Source organism: Homo sapiens, chromosome 14, assembly GCF_000001405.40.
Source record: "Homo sapiens chromosome 14, GRCh38.p14 Primary Assembly".
Taxonomy (NCBI): Eukaryota; Metazoa; Chordata; class Mammalia; order Primates; family Hominidae; genus Homo; species Homo sapiens.
In genome coordinates this window covers 29145557-29166611 of record NC_000014.9, presented here as the reverse complement: position 1 = coordinate 29166611, position 21055 = coordinate 29145557, and the positions used below count along the sequence as shown (strand labels likewise).

At 34.2% G+C, this 21055-nt stretch overlaps 1 long non-coding RNA gene across 5 annotated transcripts in view; it reads right to left on the bottom strand.

Moving 5' to 3' along the window:
* The window catches only part of LOC107984685 (uncharacterized), a 216619-nt gene that overhangs the window by 21296 nt on the left and 174268 nt on the right, over nt 1–21055 (bottom strand). For all 5 annotated transcript variants that reach the window (XR_007064101.1, XR_001750697.1, XR_001750694.2 and 2 more), the window contains one exon: nt 1011–1108. This is a non-coding gene — a long non-coding RNA (uncharacterized LOC107984685). The remainder of the gene's footprint in view (nt 1–1010; nt 1109–21055) is intronic.

Genomic DNA, 21055 nt, shown 5'->3' with positions numbered 1-21055 from the left:
AAACTAGATCAAGACAGCATTTCCAAACAAACAAAAACACCAAAAATTATCACAGGGAGGTAACATTGACTTAAGATATAAATGCAAGTATTTTGCTACTGAAAAAAAGGAACACCTGAAAAAATATGTTATTCTGATTGGGAAAAGAGAAAAACAGTATCAAGGATATGAAAATATCAGAAATGGAAAGCTGAATGACTCAAGAAAAATTTTTTTCTCAGTATTACCTATAATTAACTGAAATCACGAGTTTTTTCATAAATTAATAAAATATTACTATATTGCACTAAAATATTTGAAATGATCTTTCCTTCAAGTCTATGACCTATTAGTTTGAAAAATGATTATTGTTTTTAATAAAAAAGAATCCTTAACATTTATTGAACATTTACTATATGTCAAGTAATATGCTAGGCCCTTTGCTTGGATTATCTTTTAATCTTCATAATATCTTAAATGAATGTTTTTATTAATAAGCCAATTAGTCTTAGAGAGGTTAATTTGCCTAAAGCCACTTAGCTAATAAGAAATGGACCCTGCCTTTAAACTCAGATATAACCGAGTCCAAAGCCCATATTCTTAAATACTATGCCACGAAGTACAGATTGATAAATTATAGATGATTAACAGATGAATAGATTATAGATGGTTAATAGACAGATTGATATATATATGATTAATTAGTGGATTAAATATGGAGATATTAAAGAGAGGAAGCACATTATGCAATCTTGTGTTCAGTTCCACCCAACCATTCAATGCCGTGTTGGGAGGGGAGTGGTAAGCAAATACTTGTCTCCCAGCTACTGTGAACATTCAGAAAAAGAAAAAAGAAACACTTATGATTTAAAATAAATTCCTAAAAATCATCTGCATGTGTTATATTTGGTTCATCAACAGGGAAAAAAATAGACACATGCATTGAAAATGAAATATCTATGCTAAATGTCTTTGATATCCTGCCAGATTTACCCACAGAAGGTCTCGACTATAAACAAACAGCTACTTACACATGTATGACCCTGGAAAGAAGACTGAGTGGGCACAAAATGGTGTCTGTTTTAATCTTGGGTTTTTGCTTCATTTTGAGCTGTCAGATTTTCACCTCCTTTCAAGGAAAAGAAAAACAGGAACTGTGATTCTGCTTTTAGTATTAAAGAGTTGCATAACCATATCCAAGTAGCTGAATTATACCTTTACTAATGAAGGGAGTTGTTTTCAAGGGTGAAATAACATTTTTGTGGCAGAAATGGCAATGTGACAACCACCGCTTCAATGAATATAGACACTTCCTACACTTGGTTTTAATCACATCTCAGTCAGATCATAATATTTATTAACTGTTCAGAACACCTCCTAAATCTTTGTGTTCGAACTCTTCTTGGTTTCTCCTTTACTTTGGGAGGGATTGCGTTTTCTTAAGAACTATTTTTAAAAGTTGAGTATCCATTGTTAGAGGGTTGCTAATAGAAGTTAGGTTTTAGTTTCTTTAAAAGCATCCTCAAAACAAAAACCACTAGTTTAGTGTTAAGAATATAATAGTCAATACATATTTACTGACTGGTTATGCTCAAAATGAATTTTCTCAATTAATCTCTATATATTTAAAAATGTTAACACAAATATCCAGCTCTAATACAATATTATCAATATTCTTTAAACCACTTCCAGTAGAAATATTTGTTTTTGCACTATTTTTACATGGAAATTGAAAAACAAACAAGCTGCTTATGTTTAGAAAAATACTGATCTTTAATATTTTCTCTTACCCCAAATGATTGTTTCATTTGAACACATTTACATTGATTATTCAGAAATACATACTAAATAGAATTTATTTCAATAAAATTTAAAAGGTGAAAGTATTAAATATTCTAATTTCACCTCTTCTGGTTGTTGTTTATGTAGCGTTCTGTTAATTTCAATAGGGGCTGTTTTTTTTTTCATGAGTGTAATTGATTTTTACTTTTGTAGGCTTCTTGGGGGAAAAGAAACAAGGAAGGAATTAAGACAGGCATTTTAACATATACTTATTAGGACTTTATTATATTTTATATGGACATCATATTTCAAAATAAGCCCTGTTATATTTGGGGCAAAAGTAAAACATTTAAAAATTAATTAAAACTGTTTTTCAAGGTAACCTTGGGGGCACATTTCTAAAATATGATTAGATTAAATGTCCTTATTTACCACAATGTGAAATATATTTTAAAAGCTAAGAAACATTATGTACACTAGCAAAATTCATTTTCTAAGTAGGTAATTAATTTGGATGAAGCAAATTCTAATGTGACTTACAAAGGGCCAAGGGAAGTAATATGTACATAAAGGACTCAATTTAGAAACTTAATGTCTTTGATTTAACACTGAAAGTTCATTAAGGCTCTCTGATTGACAGTTATTTAGGGTTCAGTGACTGCTGTACTAGAATAGTTATGGAAATAGAAGAGATCAATATTCTACATTTCTGTCACTATGAGATTTGTGACCATCCATATAAAAAAGCAGAGTTATTTAAAGCTATTGCCGATTTTGATTCAATTGTTACAAATATAGATATTAAAAAATCAACTAGCCAGCAAATATGAAGTGTGTATGCCTAGCACTGCACCTTCAATTCTTGGCTTAACATTCACTAAACTCTTCTTTTCCTTTACCACCTCAATTTTGCTTTTGTGAAATGAAAATAATAAAATGTTTCATATCTAAATGAGAATATTATAAGACAAAATAATATCATCTTATTTATTGATGATATGACTGCACTGTCACTTAAAAGAGACATAAAAAACAACTGTTCCCATTATCTTTGTTGGAAAGAATGACAAACTATTAAAAAATTATACCATATTTTTGAAAAATACTACTTAAATGAATGCAGTTTATTTTCAGTAACCCTACATAACCGTCTACCTTTTGGGCTAGTCAGTGACACTTCAGAAATTATTTTTTTTCTGACACGTTCAATAGGGCAATATATTACCCCAATTTGGACATTCCATAATATCTTTATAAGTTGTATTATTATTAATTTGTATTAGCTACAAGTAAATATGTGTTTTTAAAATCTTCCAACCTCCAACCATTTTAGTCAGCTTTCTGTGGTAAAATGTAGGGACCAAAGAAACCATTACATTGTGTCAGAGAGAACCCTAAGTGATTTATTGAGAAAATTTCCTGAATTTTTTAATATATCCCTCTGAAATTCACTTATAGGTAGAAGTGTGATTTTTCTATGTTTAAGGAAATATTTTTAAAAGGCTTCTAAGTTTTCCCCAAAGGATGCCAACCTTTACACTTACTCATCAAATTTCCACAGCCTATATATTCACTCACTTTCAAGCATCAACTCAGTAAGAGACTTAAAAACGAAGCCTTTAGTGATAATGCCCAGTGTCCTCATGGTCACCTATGACAGCTCAACAGGCAGTCATACCTACACATATGGACTGGCTTGCCTGGCCCACGGCCAGCTCCAGGCTTGGGCTTCTGCTTTCATTTACAGTTTTTCCCACTAGCCCTACTTCTTTACCTTGTTTATATTGCATTATTATTATGTTACATTTGTAATCTGTTTTAAATCATTTGTGAAAAGAAGGCTGAGTATAAACAAACAAGACCCAGTGATGTTACACATGGAGATATTTGAATCCTTCTGAGAAAAGGTGCAATTTAAAGTTCACGATATTACAGGCAGGCTGCATTATAGGTGGGAAGTGTTCCCAGCCATGTTTTTATGCAGTGGATTGAGATTCAGACTATTTTCCCAGTAAAAACAATGCTATATAAATAATGCAAACAATTGCCAGCTATCACACAACCTATTTAACCCATGATATAACTTCAGTAAACTTTATTTGCTCTGAAAAAATAATGAAACAAAGTAGTATTATTGTCAGCAAGATTGAAAATTAGTCACATTGAAAATGAGTTATTAAATGCATTGATTTTCTATTTTTTGGTCAGGAATCTTACCTTAGTCATTATGATATTGTCACTGAGTAACTCAATGTGAGTGCACAGGGCTTAAGAAATGTTTACTGAGTGAGAGGAAGGAGAATGAATGACAGCAAGGACAAGAGAGATACCTGAGGCATGCAAAAGAGACTTCTGGGGATAGCCAAGGTGACAGGAGTCAATGGCAATGGTTCTCTATTTTGTCTCATTATAGTGAAACACTTTGGGTTTCTATTTCCTTGACACCAGAAGGCTTATATGCATTATCAGACTAGATTAGATTTGTTTGGGCAAGGAGAAAAAGAAGAGAAAGCATCAGCAGCAGCAGCAGCAGCACCAGCAGAAGGGAAGGCTACAGAGAAAGGGAAAAGGGACTTTTCTTAGGTGAGTATTCAAGGCCTAGGGAAAAAAGGAGTAAAGAAGATACAGATGCTCCTCAACTTACGATGAGGTTATACCCTTATAAGCCCATCATAAATCAAAAATATAGTAAGTTGAAAATGCATTTTAGACTTAATGGTATTTCCTGTTTATGATAGGTTTATCAGGATATAACCTAATCGTTAAGTTGAGGAACATATTGAATTCATGTCTTTTTGGCACCACTGTAAACTTAAAAAATCATAAGTCGAAACATCATTAAGTCAGAAACCTCTGTAGTTATAGAGGTATATATGTCCATGTGATAAAAGGACTTCAGAAATGGAATTACTTACTTTAGGATTAAAGTGAAGAATAAATGAGAGCACATCATTTGTCTGATTTTCTTTTCTCTGAGAGAGTAGAAAGACAACAGTAGTGAGGGTTTTGGTCATATAGTATCCTATACCGGCCACAACCAGATGGTACCATCATCACGGCAACTCTTGGTTGCATACTTTTTAAAATAAAGACATTACATCATTTTCCTAAAATACACTGGCAGTGACAGCCAGGGCTAGTACTGTGGGTTCTCTAAAATCGTATTTAACACTTCTAAAATTACAAATAATTGGTAAACTACCGTACAGTAAATAAATATTGGAACAGTTTTTCAAATGAGATGATTTTTAAATTGTCATTTTTAGTAATTTGCCTGCCTTGTGAAGTTAGCTACTTACAAAGTCAGTTGTTCATTTAACATTCTATGCCAAAAGTTAAAAATATTTATAACGAAAGACATATGAGTGAAAGAGATAGGCTCTCCACATACTTTCTACTTAATTGTGAAAATGTGAAAATTTTAACTCAAGCAATTATTGAATGTTGTTTAATGTTGGAAATTAAAATCGTTTAACACAATATGGAATTAAAGTAAGTGTAGAAAATTTACAATAAGAAAACTTTTAAACTTTGATATATATTAAAATGATTAATTCAGAGAAATGAAGATAAAATTTCATCCAGTCTTCAAAATATTTCAGAAGAGATTATATTTCTATAAATACCACCTAAAGATATTATGCACCTCTTTTTATATCTATTGCATTTGTATTTACCAGTTTGGAGTTTTTTTATTTTTAATTTACATTCCTCCATGACAAGCCATTGCATTTTTCAATGTTTTCAAACAATTTAACTCTCTTTCCTGATGTAATATTATTCAAGATTGTAATAATACTTTTTGCACACCTGAAATGGGAGAAATAGCACCTGTGCTATAAATGGAGAAGGCCAGATTAGTGTTTCCCTTTTGGTTTGATAATAAAACAAAAGAACAGAGAACAGTAGTTGACATCATGGATGATATTGAGGTGGTAAGAGTCACAATGTCTTCATTTGTGTTACTAGTGAAGAACAATTATTTTTGGCAAAACATAAAGGCAAAGACATCTAAAATAATATACAGCATAGATAAAAATAACAGATAACGTGCTTTTTTGAATATACAATTACATTAAATTGAAAGAAAGGCAATAATGAGAAGCAATAGTTCTATGTTCTAAACATCTGAGTTATACATCAGTGTCTGTAATGTCTGTAACATAATGATGGCACACTACCAAAGCTATCACTGATTTAGCATTTTAAAAAGTCAGCCATTTGCTATTACAATCATTTCAAGATACTTGAAGGATGATATCTGAATAGAATAGATAATACAGAGAATATTATGCATACAGGCCTTTGAACAGTTAGGAAGGTAGGGTAGGAGAAATTGTTTAGGATAAAACTCGTCTAGAATATTGAGTTAATGTGATAGCATTTGCTAGCATATGCATGCTGAAGCATCCTATGCTTTATTCAGAGCACTTGTGAAAACTCCTTATTTTGGTTCATTTCTTTCTCATTTCCTAAATGTGTCTCTTCTAAGCAGAGAGAAATGCCTATGTGGTCTATATCTTTATTCCTCAAGTACTCATTTTGAAAAACATATCATAAAAAGAGAGAAACATGGGAGGAAAAATTTACAATTATGCTTTATATGTGAAAATAAAATTTTTACTAACTTAACTTTCAGTTACAGAGTTGAATATTAAGTACAGGTTAAATGCAAACATGTTTTAATAATTTCTCAGTGCTTTAATATATAGAAATTTTACATAGACTTGTATGGAAAGTATATACTTTCATTTCATATTCTATTTTTGAATTACCTTACATTGTGCAAAAATACACAAAACTACTAAATGACAAGAAGTAATAAAAATAACTGTAACAAAGAAGAAGATTTGGTTTCATTTCCCTTCCAATATACCCAGAAAATATTCTACATTTATGTGGCTTTTCAATAGATGTGAAACCCTGATATTTTGTAAGTTCTTGTAATTGTCTTAATTTACCCTCGATATCTTTCTGCTCTGCAAAAGAAGAAGAACGAACTGATTTGTAAGGAATATTTAAAAGTTCATATAGTGTCCTAGAGTGTTAAAACACAATCATGTACTTCTTTGAATTATGTTTAAATGATGGTATAAAGAACATAATATGAGGCCGGGCATGGTGGCTCATGCCTGTAACTCCAGCGCTTTAGGACACCAAGGCGGGCGGATCACCTAAGGTCAGGAGTTCAAGACCAGCCTCGCCAACATGGTGAAACCCCATCTCTACTAAAAATACAAAAATTAGCTGGGTGTGGTGGCGCATGCCTGTAATCCCAGCTTCTCAGGAGACTGAGGCAAAAGAATCGTTTGAACCTGGGAGGCAGAGGATGCAGTCTGCAGTGAGCCGAGATTGCGCCACTGCACTCCAGCCTGGGCAACAGAGTGAGACTCCATCTCAAAAAGAAAAAAACATAATATGATCATTGGGTGCTAGTGCTAGTTGGTAATGCCAAATGAGACAGCAATTTGGCCATTTCTAGAGAAACTGAAATAGCCTGTGCCTTATGATTCAGAAAGTTTAAAACTGGATATACAAATATAATGTAAAGAAACAGCTTCAGATCAGGTAGAAGAGTATTCATTTGTAGCCATTTTATAATAGTGAAAATTGCCAACATCTAAATTTACATTAATAGAACAATAAATAAATTTGCTCAAAGGAATATTATGCAGCATGTAAAATGAATAAATTTATGCTGTGTAAATTGGAAAAATCTTACTTGGATGAATCATAATATAAAGTAGAGTGGTAGGATACCATGTGTATACATTTTAAAAACATATATTTATGTGATTCATGTTTTAAAATTACCAAATGTAAAGGTATAAAAATATGTCTGCTGATGATAAACACTAAATTTAAGATAGTAGTTACCTTTGTGGGAGAGATTAGAGATAACTGGATGAGAAAAGGTATATAAGACCTTTCAAATATCTCTGTAAGATGCAAAGAGACACGAAGAGAAACAAGGGAGGCACATTATAGCACTATTTTGAGACTTGAGAAAGGAACACGGGTTATGTGGTTTTTCATTCTATTGTTTTCTTCCATTGTTTTTGTATTTTATAGATTTTTACAATAGCCTTTAGCTTTTTTAGAAGTGTATGAGATTTTATTTGGAGTCAGATAAATTAGTTTTAGTTCACAGTTAACTGGCTATATAAACTAGGTAATTATTAATTTTTTGTATAGAAAAAGAGGCTAATGATACAAGTTTTAATGAGGATTGGTTTGATATATGTGAATGTCCCCTATCAACTGGAGAGCATGAGTTTAAAATGTTATACATGCATATAAATAGGTAAGGATAGATTTGGACCTAGATGTTTATTCTAAAGTTCTAGATAGTGATAGAGACACCTTTGCTGTCACAGGAATGTCAGCAAATACAATGCTGTTCAGTCCCTGACTAACTTATGAATATAAATACATATATCGGCTGGGCACAGTGGCTCACACCTGTAATCACAGCACTTTGGGTGGCCGAGGCGGGTGGATCATGAGGTCAGGAGATCGAGACCATCCTGGCTAATACAGTGAAACCCCGTCTCTACTAAAAATACAAAAAATTAGCCGGGTGTGGTGGTGGGTGCCTGTAGTCCCAGCTACTCAGGAGGCTGAGGCAGGAAAATGGCGTGAACCTGGGAGGTGGAGCTTGCAGTGAGACGAGATCGCGCCACTGCACTCCAGCCTGGGTGACAGAGCAAGACTCCATCTCAAAAAAATAAATAAATAAATACAAAATACATACAAAATACATACATACATACATACATATATCTATTGCAAGCGTTACTTTACAGTATAAAAGCATTTGTAAAGTTTTATGAAGTCAGAGTCAGTACTTGTTATAATTGTGTGTTTTTTACTCTAAAAGTACAGTTTTTATTTAAATAAACATAAAGCCAATATCTAACAGCAGTTACTTGGCAAATGGTGGTACAATTGAAAATGGTGGTACTGTCTCTTGAATCTTTCCTATTTTCTATTTTTGAAGTTTTTAAACTTTTTCACCTTCTATGTCTTTTAAGGCACACTATCAGTTTTATTTAATTATTTTTGTGTTCTTTCTAGTTTAGTCTTTATTTTAAGGGCAATTTTTTTCTTTTATGTCTAATTATGTTTGGAGTTCATTCATACATTTCTGAGCATTTCTAATACTGATTTATGTCTTTCCATTAGAGAGGGTACACTTTCAATTGTACCACCATTTGCCAAGTAACTACTGTTAGGTATTGACTTTATGGGTCATTGGCTAAATGAAATTTAAAAAGGTGTTTTAGTCAATCTTAAGCTATATATAAGTCCTACAATTTTGGAAGAAATAAACATGATCTTAGCATTAATTAAGGCAACTGTTACATAATTTGGGGACTTGAATTCTTATTCCCACTCTATTGTTACATAGATACCAGCCTTTGTGCAAGTTGCTTGACTCTGGCTCTCCATATATTAGCCTGTAAAACGAGGGTTGCAAGAGTAAGGGTTGAATTGGATGTTTTATTGTCCCTAAAATATTTTCTGACTCTAACATTGTAATATTCTATTAAAAGTATAGTGTCAAGATTATAAGAATTGATAGTGTGCTGTGTTCTGTACTGTTCAGAGTTCAAGTTTTGTATTCAATTACAAATGTTACATTTTTAAGAAACATTAAAAATGAGATTGCATTCAAAAGAGAACCATCAAGATAGTCTGAAAATACATCAAATAATTTCAACCCAGTACCACAGTCCTTCTTCTTGTTCTCTCCTTGCCCCTCTTTCCATCTGCCATTGTCTTTTGCCATCCTTTGAGTATGGACCTAAGCCTGACTGGCAGTCAGTATATGCTCTGTCAGTTTCCACTACTGGATAGGGACTGGAGAATGACACATGAAGAGTTAAACAGAGGTCTTTGCAGTCTTTATAGCACTATAGCATCAATTTGCAATATTTGACAATCATATCTTTCACATTTTTGATTGGATCTCCTACTAGTATATCTCCTATACTGAATTATTGCAGGAAAATATCTATTTTTTTCTGCTTTGAGATATAGTTCAAAAGTCTTTCTTCCCAAACTCTAGCTTGAGAAGGCACCAGGCTCCAGGGAAGAGACGGGGGTGCGAACTGTAAGAAAAAGCTAGTCTACTATACTTACTCCCTATAACAACCTTCAGGTCCTCTCATAATAAGGTGCTGCTCCTTTTCCATGACTTACAATTGTAAAGACAACATGAGTGTCTAAGCCGATGCTACTCACAAAAACAGCACCCTCTAACCCCATGTGAGCCCAATTTTATGAGATGAGACAAATTCTTACCATGCCTTCAAGTCCAACTACATGTCTCTCTCCCAAAGACAGAGGGCCCACCTCCTCTTGAATACTGCTGGACAGAGGCAGAGGAGTTCTATTTTAATCATGGGGTTTGAAAATGCCCTTTGATCTCAGCTTCACTTAGCATACCACCTACTCTTCAATTAAATCATCTGTTTCTATACCATAGATGCCAATCAGGTCCAAACAGTTCAAGGATCACAACTTTCTCTATCATGTCTTTTTCCCAATGTCAGCTTATTTCATGCACCCTTATTACTGGTGCTGAGTCAAATTTCATTCTTCCCCACTCTTCTGCTAAGAGGTGGCTGCCATGCTGAGGTGCCATTTGGTTCAGTGCTGCAGTGTAGTTTGAATTGGGGGTAACTGGCTCCTGCTACCATCCAATAATCTCTTATAGCCCAAGTGCTAGGCCTTAATCATATAAAGATCAGCAGTATATGAGCTAGAATATGTGTTCAGCAGTTTCAATAGAGGCCAAAATAATAGTGGCTTTTACAAAAGAGAATATTATTAATCCCTCACTGAAAACTTTGACCTGGCAGGTGGCCGAGTGAAGTAGAATGACTCCACAGATCATTTATATTACTTCCCTGTCACTTTCTTAAGTCCTACCTGCTCTGTGCCCAAGTCTGTAGCAAGGATGAAATATAAAGTGGGGGGCAAGAAGCTTCTTTTAAAGGCATAGCTAAGAAGTCACACGTTTCTTTGCTCACATCTCATGGGGCAGAACTTAGTCACATGGCCATTGCTTGCTGCAAAGGAGGCAGGGAAGTATCATCTTATCCTGGACAGCAATGTGCCCTGTTAAAACTTAATTTATGTTAAAACGTATTTTATTACTAAGAATAAGGAATGACTACAGGGGATATTATTAGTGTTCTTCGACACTACCTGCAAAAAAAAAAAAAAATGCATTCTCACTTAGTTGGTCAAGCATACCCAAAGAGCCCAAAAGAAGTTTTCATCATTCTTCATTAGATTTTATTCTAATAAAGACTTCATTAGTAGATACCAGAAAGGTATGGAAGGTCATCGTAGAATATTTACTTTATTAAATTTAGCCCTGTGCCTCAAGCCATGGAGAATGGGACAGTTCTCTCTGAACTCTTGCGTTCTCCCTAAGTGTGTCCTTTGGGACTTTTCTCTTGTTTTCTTCTCTTCCTTCTTCCCCTTCCTTAGAACACTTTGAAACTGTTAGACACTTTCACTATCCCTTATCCTAAGTTCCACTTCCTTTCCTGGTTTGTGGCATGAAAAATTTTATGCTCTGCTATACTCTCCTGCTAAATAACAAGTGGAGTGCTTTGTATTCTGAAAGTAGAAGAGGAAAAATGAGGCACTCATGATAGTTTGTCCTTAACTTACTAAGACAAGCCAATCTTTGCACTGCAAAGACTTTCCTTCATGCCTATTTTTGGTATCTTATTACTAATATATATATGTATATATATTTAACTGATAAATTATAATCGTACATATTTATAGGGTGCAATGTTATGTTTTGATATATGTGTACAATGTAGAATGATTAAATTAAGCTAATTAACGTATCAATCACCCCATTTATCATTTGAAATATACTCTCTTAGCAATATTTAAATATACAATACATTACTGTTAATTATAGGCACCACACTGTGCCATACGTCTCAAAAATATGTTCTTCCTGTCTAACTGAAACTTTGTACCCTTTAAACAGCATCTCCCTATTCCCCTACTTCCCAGCCTCTGGTATCCACCATTCTACTCACTGTTTCTATGAGTTTGACATTTTTAGATTCCACAGTACTTTTTGTGTTAAAAGGCTGCGTGTGCTCCAATAGTCTTGAGTTCTTTCAAAAGGCCCATTTCTATTACATTAGCCTGTATATGTATGAGCATTCAGAAAGAGAGTGGGGAATTTTAATCTCAGGTCTTCACTAGTCAAATGACCTCAAGAATATTTGTTCCCAATTTGTTTTATAAGCCCGCAGCTTAGACTTGAGATTGTCAGATTATACAAGAGTTACCTTATAAATTTTTTGTGCGTTTTCACCTCTTCAATATTTATTACTGTCCCTTGATTATTTCTTTTATTTCTATTTAATTTTTTTCATTTTTCACCTTCTATGTTTTTAAGACACACTATCAGTTGCATTTAATTATTCTGTGTTCTTCCTAGTTCCATCTTTATTTTAAAAGTGATTTTTTGTTTTACTTCCAATTATTTCTGGAGTTCATTCATACATTTCTGAACATTTCTAATACTGATTTATGTCTTTGCATTTATTAGATCATTTTCTTTGTCTTTTAGTTCATTTTCAAATATTAGTTTCAGGTTGATTCTGTTTTGTGACTTTGTCTTTTTGATGCGGGTTATTTTTCTGCTCTTTATTATCTTTCTTTATATAATAATTTTGTATGGGATTTGACCTAGATTTTTATATGTTACAAATTACATGAAATTAATTTTGCCAAACTTCTAAAGTGAAGTGGGGTTTAGGGAAGTTTTTCTAATTTCCAAGAGCTTTCTTTTTTACTGTTTTTGTATAGTATTTGGAAATAGGTTGGCTTACTTTTTATTTTTTTATTTTTTTTGAGACAGAGTCTTGCCCAGTCGCCCAGGCTGAAGTGCAGTGGCTCGATCTCGACTCACTGCAAGCTCCACCTCCCGGGTTCACGCCATTCTCCTGCCTCAGCCTCCCCAGTAGTTGGGACTACAGGCGCCCGCCACCACGCTCGGCTAATTTTTTTGTATTTTTAGTAGAGACGGGGTTTCATCATGTTAGCCAGGATCGTCTCGATCTCCTGACCTGGTGATCCGCCCGCCTCGGCCTCCCAAAGTGCTGGGATTACAGGTGTGAGCCACCGCACCTGGCCGGTTGGCTTACTTTTTGAGATTTTCTGGCTGTTTTCTTCCTCCACTTGTTTATACCAGAGGTCGGCAAACTTTCTGTAAAAGGCCATATAGTAAATAATTTAGGCTTTACAAACCATACAGTCTCTGACACAAATACTCAACTCTGCCCTTTTACAGCCACAGGAGACACTTAAACGAATTAGAATGGTTATGTTCTAATAGACATTATTTAAAAAAAAAACAACAGGTTGGATTTGGCCCACAAGCTATAGTTTGCTTACCTCTCTGATTTAGACCAATTTGTCCAACAGAAATATAATAAGATCCAAAAATATAAGGCACATATGTTGTTTAAAATTTTTAATAGTCACATTGAAAAAAATGGAAAAAGATGAAATTAATATATTTTATATAATCCAGTATATTCAAAATACCATCATTTTAACACGTAATCAAGTATTTTAAAAATATTAATAAGATACTTTGCATTTTTTATTCTAAGTCTTTCATATATGATGTGTATTTTATACTTACAGCACATCTCAATTCAGACAAGTGTCAACTGAAGTGCTCAGTAGTGACTTGGTGCTACTGGCTACTTTACTGGCATCACAGTTCTGGACCTTCCCTTTCCTCATCTGTACCTCTTGCCCCTATTCCTCCTCATTTTTTATTCCATCTCTTAAATTTCTCTCCTGTGTGGTACCTGGTTCTGAAATGGAAGCTTGAAGGGTCAGTTTGATAATTCACAGATGCTGTCCTGCCTCAGCCTTGTACACCCACTTACCACCAGCCCCTGCTTCACCTGGTACTGGGAAGCACACATCCCTCCTGTTCTCAGCTGCTCTTCTCCGCCTGCTTCCCACTGAAGACTCGATGGCTGTTTCTAGGTTCTCCCATCCTCAAGTCCACTATACACCCAGTTTCGTTCTCTCCTTCCTCTTGCACAAACACGACTATCATGCCTCGTAACTGTCAACTGTTGGTCTCTGCCCACTTGTTTAAAGTTTGTGGACTATTTTTCTGTCTCATTTCATTCACCTTTCTTCTTTCTTATTACTTCCCCTGCAATCCTTGTACACCATTTCTAGTTCTTATCCTCTTGCTCTCCTTACTATAACCTCTTTAAATCTTGGAAAACAGAAATAAAAAACAAATAATATGAACCCTACCAGTATGGTAAACATCACATGGAATTATGTCTATGAAAGCACTAGGCAAACTCCAAATTATTAGGTAGATTGAATAAATAAATTTATGGAATTTCTGGAGGAAAAAAGGGTGCCAGAGAAGAAGGGCTTTCTATACTTTTGATGTCAGTTTTCTTTTGCCCTACAATTTTTGTATTTGTAAAAGAAAACAATGGTTAAATACAGAATGTTGCAAATTTTGTAAGTTCTTGAAGGTGACACTTAAATTTCTGTCTCTTCACACACACACACACACACACACACACTGCATTTAGTGAAATAAAAGGGACCCTTTTTCCAAGGGCAGTGAGTAAACAGGCATTATAGTAAATTGGCATTGAAGGCACCTGGAAAGTTTGACATAATAAATATTTTATTTTTTCTTTTCTTTTTTTTTTTTTTGAGACAGAGTCTAGCTCTGTCGCCCAGGCTGGAGTGCAGTGGCGCAATCTTGGCTCGCTGCAAACTCTGTCTCCTGGGTTCATGCCATTCTCCTGCCTCAACCTCCCAAGTAACTGGGACTATGGGCACCCACCACCACACCTGGCTAATTTTTTTTTTTTTTGTATTTTTAGTACTGACGGGGTTTCACCATGATAGCCAGGATGGTCTTGATCTCCTGACCTCATGATCTGCCCACAACAGCCTCCCAAAGTTCTGGGATTACAGGCGTGAGCCACCACACCCAGCAATATTTTCTTATTCTTACTGATTCCTGACCTTGGTTTTGCAATAATGAAGGGTATACATGATTCATTTAAATATGCCATTAAATTGTTATAACAGTAACTTACATAGTTTCATTAAAAATTAAATGTTATAAAGCTCTTCCTTTTTCATAGAAAAGTCAAAAAAATCAAACAAAAAAGTTGCCCAATTCAAAACCACTGGGCATCTATGATGATTAAAATTATTTAATAATTTGTGAAATTTTTTAAATTTTCTTCATTGTAGTTCCTGTTTGGGGAAGAGAGGAAGTTAACCATAATTCAGTTAAGTTACATTCTTATTAAAAGGGTCCTATGAGCAACCTGGGGGTCCAAGCCTTCTTACATACCTGGTAAGATTTTTCAGAGAATAATCTCCCCTTGAGTTTTTCCACAGTAAGCCAAGGAGACACTGTGGCCGGAATTGGTTTCTTCTGGTGGGTTCTTGGTCTTGCTGACTTCAAGAATGAAGCTGCAGACCCTCACGGTGAGTGTTACAGTTCTTGAAGATGGAGTGTCGGGAGTTTGTTCCTTCAGATGTTCACATGTGTGGGGAGTTTCTTCCTTCTGGTGCGTTCGTGGTCTCGCTGACTTCAGGAGTGAAGCCGCAGACCTTCACAGTGAGTGTTACAGCTCTTTAAGGTGGCGGGTCAGGAGTTGTTCATGCCTCCCAGAGGATTCGTGGTCTTGCTGGCTTCAGGAGTTAAGCTAAAGACCTTCGCAGTGAGTGTTACAGTTCATAAAAGTAGTGTGGACCCAAAAAGTGAGCATTAGCAAGATTTACTGTGAAGAGCAAAAGAACATACTCTCCACAGCGCGGAAGCGTACCCCAGTGGATTACTGCTGCTGTCTCTGGTGGCCAGCTTTTATTCCCTTATTTGGCCCTGCCCACGTTCTGCTGATTGGTCCATTTTACAGAGTGCTGATTGGTCCATTTTACAGAACGCTGATTGGTGCGTTTTTACAGAGTGCTGATTGGTGTATTTACAAACATTTAGCTAGACACAGAGCGTTGATTGGTGCGTTTACAATCCTTCAGCTAGACGGAAAAGTTCTCCAAGTCCCCACCTGACCCAGAAGTGCAGCCGGCTTCACCCCTCAACATGACAAAACATCAATCAATTCTCCTTCTAAGCTCCAGCTAAATAAACTGGTGGGACATGGGTTTCTATTCCCAAGACTTTCTAAGGCTTAGGTTCACCAGAGGGGTGCATACCATTTTGTCTAAATAAAACCTGTGAACAAATGTTGCACTTCTCTATTGCTTAAGGTGTCTCATAAATGGAACTTGCATTAAATATAACAGGAGCATAAAATACTTGAAAACATTATATTGATCAACTTCTAATACAAACTTGTTTATTTTTAATTTATGAAAGTATAAACAGTATGTTTTCTAATAGAAAAAAATTTTTACAAAAAATTGGAACTCAATTTCACATTCTTTAAGGAAAAATTACGTCTTATGTATTTCTGTAGAGCTCAGGGAAAGTCAATTGTCAGTCATTGAGAAATTTGGGATGTTGATTCTAATTTTACAATTTTCAGATTTAATACACATGGTTATATATTCAGACTATAGCTAAAATGCAAAAATGTTAAAATTGAAGGTATAGTTGATGTCAGAGCTAAGGGAATTAAACATGGTAAATATGTATATCAGCAATGGGTATGTTTGAAGGCATTTCAACACATTTAATACCAGAACCTAGATGATATATTACTCATGTCTTTATTATAAAAAGTGATCATAGAGGTAGCATACATACTATGAGATTTGGTAGTTGCCATGGTTACTATATTTTTTTTACTGAACACAAGAATAAATAGCTATACACATTCTTTGTCATTATTAAGCTGGTAATTTACAGTAGCTTTAAAGATAGTGTGCCTGTTCATCTTAAAAAATGCAAATTGGAATATACCCATTTTCATTTTTCTGAGTCTAATGAAAGAAAAATTTTAAAAGTAATTTGCTGTGTATCCTTTTAATTTTGTGATTGTTGTAAAGCATTAGGCAAAGTATAATATTTACAAATTACTTTCTGGTACTTAGTCCTAAGGAGTTGATTTTTAAGGATGGTTTATGCAATCTGTTAGGCTACTCAAAAGTAGAGTATTTATATAACAAAGGTTTGAATAACACTTATTCTGTGGCAGATAATTCTCTAAATTTTATGAATATGTATTTATTTAATTTCATTTATGAAATCTTAATATCTTTCTTGAAGTGTGAATCTCTCCAGACGTGAGGTCAACAGCAATAGCCAAACGGAGTGAAGGAAGCAAAGAAAAATAAAACCCTTTTATCCTCTTCTCTGTCTGCCCAGATAATAAAGTATTCAATATCTGGTAGTAGAACATTAAATTTGAATAATGTAGAAATGTGTTTGGGTAAAAAATAATTTTTTTCCTCTGAAAAACACACTTGTTTTTATCTTTCTTCCCAACTAACTCATTATCCTTCTCAGAACCCATTAACTGCATTTTAAATATTTGTACATATTTTTGTTTCTACACAACTTTTATTTCTACACAACTTTTGTTCTCCCTCCTTCATCCAGCTCAATTGTAAAAGTTTCTAATAGGTCTTACACACTTTTTCCTGCAGTTAGTGTTTTGTAAACTCAGAATTATTTTTCTTTGCTGGTCATTAATCTTTTATTTAGTTACTTTTATTTTGCTTTGCTTTTATTTTAAAAATCTTGAAAATATAGGAAAGTTGAAAGGGTAAGTGGTACCCACAGTAACGTTACCTAGCAAAAGTGTTGCCATCAAACTTGTAATTTCATTTTAAATAAATGCTTTTATTTATATACTTTTTATTATACTGTGGTATAACATATCTTGCTTTGTTCTATTAAAATTGTGTTACTTAATTTTAGATGTGACTACCAGTATTTTTAATGGCTGCATGGTATATGTCTACCATCATTTGATTATCCATTTCCTTATGATTGAAAATGTAGGTTTCTTCCAATTCTGTTCCTTTATAAATAATATTGCTTTGGTTGTCTTTATTCATAGGACTTGTTTTATTTTTCTTATTTTTAGTGTAGATTCCAAGAAATAGAATTTAAGGACCAAGCATTTTGATTCCAAGTCCAGAGTTCTTTGAGACCTTAAATTAGGTTATTCAGAATATTAACTAAAACAGAGAGAAGTATTATAACAAAATTTTCACCTCAGACTTTACGTCCCTTTACCTTCCCCATAGCATGGGTTCTGTATAGAAGGCTCAGAAATAGGAGACACCATCAGGGAATCTCAGAGAATTATTTGCTTATTTGGTCCACCCTCTGCCACATAATACCCAGCTACAAATGGAAAACTTGACTTGAGCAGGAAGTTGCTATGCACATAAGTAAGATAACAAATACGAAACTTGCACAAGAATTCTACAATACATTCAGAGGTTAGGTAGGCAGCAGAACTGAAGGAGAACTAAAGAGTGGAAAGTGTGATTAACAGAGAATGCAAACCCAGGATAAAATCATCAAAATAAACATATGCCATATGTTTCAGAAATCTTCTCAACTACTTTATTTCCATTTTGCATCCTCTTTTTCTCATCTTCTGCCCTGTTTGCCTTCCTTCCTTTTGTTTCTTGCCTTTAAACTTCCTAATTAAATTGGCTGTCTTCATTTTCCTCCGCTTATTTTAATATTCCATCTCTTTTAAATGGAACTGAACTTGAGGTGTTACTATTATAGGGATAAGAGTAACAGAGTAAAAAGAGGCCAATACTGCCAAATTCAGAATTTCTGAAATAACTATGAATTTTGATTTTCAATGCATTAAAAATATCAACAAATCTATATCCATCTTTAGTTCTTTAAGTTTTTTAAAGCTATTATTCTTGCATTTCTAGATTCTACTTACACATCTTTCCTTTAGGTAAATATCTCCAATATTAGTTACATTTTTCATAGCTAGATTTTATTATTTCAAACCAAAATTTGTGTAAGAGAATGTCTACGAATTGGCCCTGTCTATTAGCCTAGATGTGAAATTAAAACAAAAGATAAGTGAGCAAACAAGAAATAAAAGGGAAAAGAGAGAAGAAGAAGAGTAAAAATCTCCCTTCTAGGACAAGGTATGGTTTCTTTAGCAGATATCTTGTAGACTGGTGAATTTCAAATTTGACTATCAAGATTCAATTATCTTTGGGACAATGTGGATTTCTGCCTTATAACAATAAAAACATGGATTCATCACCACCCACATTACCACTGAACTACTAACAGATGCAGCCTTCAGAATAGTGCTTCTCAACTGGGAGAATTTTGTAACCCAGGAGACATTTGGCAATTTCTGGAGACATATTTGGTTGTCACAACTTGGGTTGGGGTAGGCACTACTGTCTTCTAGTGGGTAGAGGCCAGAGGTGCTGCTAAACAGATGCTCAGGACAGCTACTAATAACAAACAATTGTCTGGCTCTAATGTCAACGGTACCCAGGATAAGGGGTCATGCTTTAAAACGAGGCATTGATCCTATGGTTATAGAAATGTTACAGGATATTAGAAGATATTTGAAAAATTGAAAGCGTTTTTCTGTGGATAGCAAGTTTATAAAACTGTTTTGTAAGACCATAATTGCAAAGTGAATAAAGTTATTGGAGAGTTATGAGTTAGGTCTGTATCAGCTAACACTTAACATGCTTTATTATCTTTCTCCTGTCACTTGAATGTAAGATTTTAAAGGGTGGTGCTTTTTTGTTATTGTTATATTTCATTGATGGCACATCATAGGCACTTAATAAGTATTTACTTTTAAAATAAGTGAATATCTAGGTAGGGTTAAGTTAACCAGTTTTTACAAATTATTTACAGGTCAATTTTTCCTTCTTTCCTTCCTCCATTGTTCCTTTAAAAAAAAATCGTAGACTTCTTGGTAAATCAGACAATTGTTAGAATTCCTGTCTCCATCAACAATATAAACGTGTCCACATACAGAAATAATCTTACTCAATTTTTAAAATTTCATAGACGTCATGAAAATCATCCATAGAATCCATGGATTCTCAGCATCTTTGGGTCCTATGTGGAAAACTGTAAAGCCAAAAATGGTATAGTCAAACAAATACCCAGCTTCCTCAAAGTGGAAACCTGTGAAATAAAAAATGACCCTCACCAAAGCCCATTGATAAGCTCTCCAAGTATGAAATTTTGTAACTATGGAAAAGAGACGACCAAGTTTGAAAATCACTTCTGGAGGTGTTGAATAAATTTCATGTGGTGGGTACTGGTACTATTTCTGAAGTCTGAAGTACTTTATAAATTGAGAAATGCAAACTTTCATTTAATATCTTTATTCAAAACAAAGAAATATCTTAGTTAAGTTATTATATTAAGTCAGTTAATCACAAAGGTTTAACCAGGATTTCCTTATTTATGACTTATTTGCAAAGAAAAGGCAAAAGGAGTGTAATATGTCTGCAGGGGGATTATTTTCTATTGATGGATGTCTGTTGACAGAATCCTCATCATTTCTTGCCAATTTTCTCAAAGAACATTATGACAACTGCTCACAGCAGGCAGAGTCAGACTCCAGAATTGATTTTGGCAATCTATATTGATCATATTGTTGATGATCTTTAAAACATCTTGCTGTCCCAGGCTTGACTTACGTCAAAGAGAGCTAACCAATCTATCTGATATCAGTATGCTCATGCCTTTACCAAATCTTGAATTCTGAAAATAAAAGCATTGAAAGTAACTTGTAGTTGTCATCAATATTTAAGAGTCATCTTTAGCCAAAAAGCATCAGCAAGCTAACAGAACATTTTATAAAGATGCTGTTCCCACTTTACTCAGCTGCATAATGACTTCAGAGATCCATAAAAGGAAAACAAGAGTGGAGCCTATTATCTCTGAGGTTCTTATTTCACTTTTGTTCTTTGTGCAGGAAAACAGAAAAAAATTGAGGGCTGCAACAGAAGAAAAGGAAAAGGAAAGGAAAAGAAGGAAAGAGGAGGCAAAAAAATAGAATAGGGAATTTTCAACTGTTTGCCACTTTTCCTGGTAAAATATTTTTTAAAAAGATATAAGAAGACTAATAACAGAAAAATGGGAAATTTGAAGCCAAAATGACATTGATGGAAATAAATACATACATCTATCTGTATGTTTGTATGTGTATGTATATGCATATCTGTACATGTGTACGTATATACGCAAATATAGGTATATTAACGTATCTGATTTATTCAGTGTTCCTTCAAGAGCACA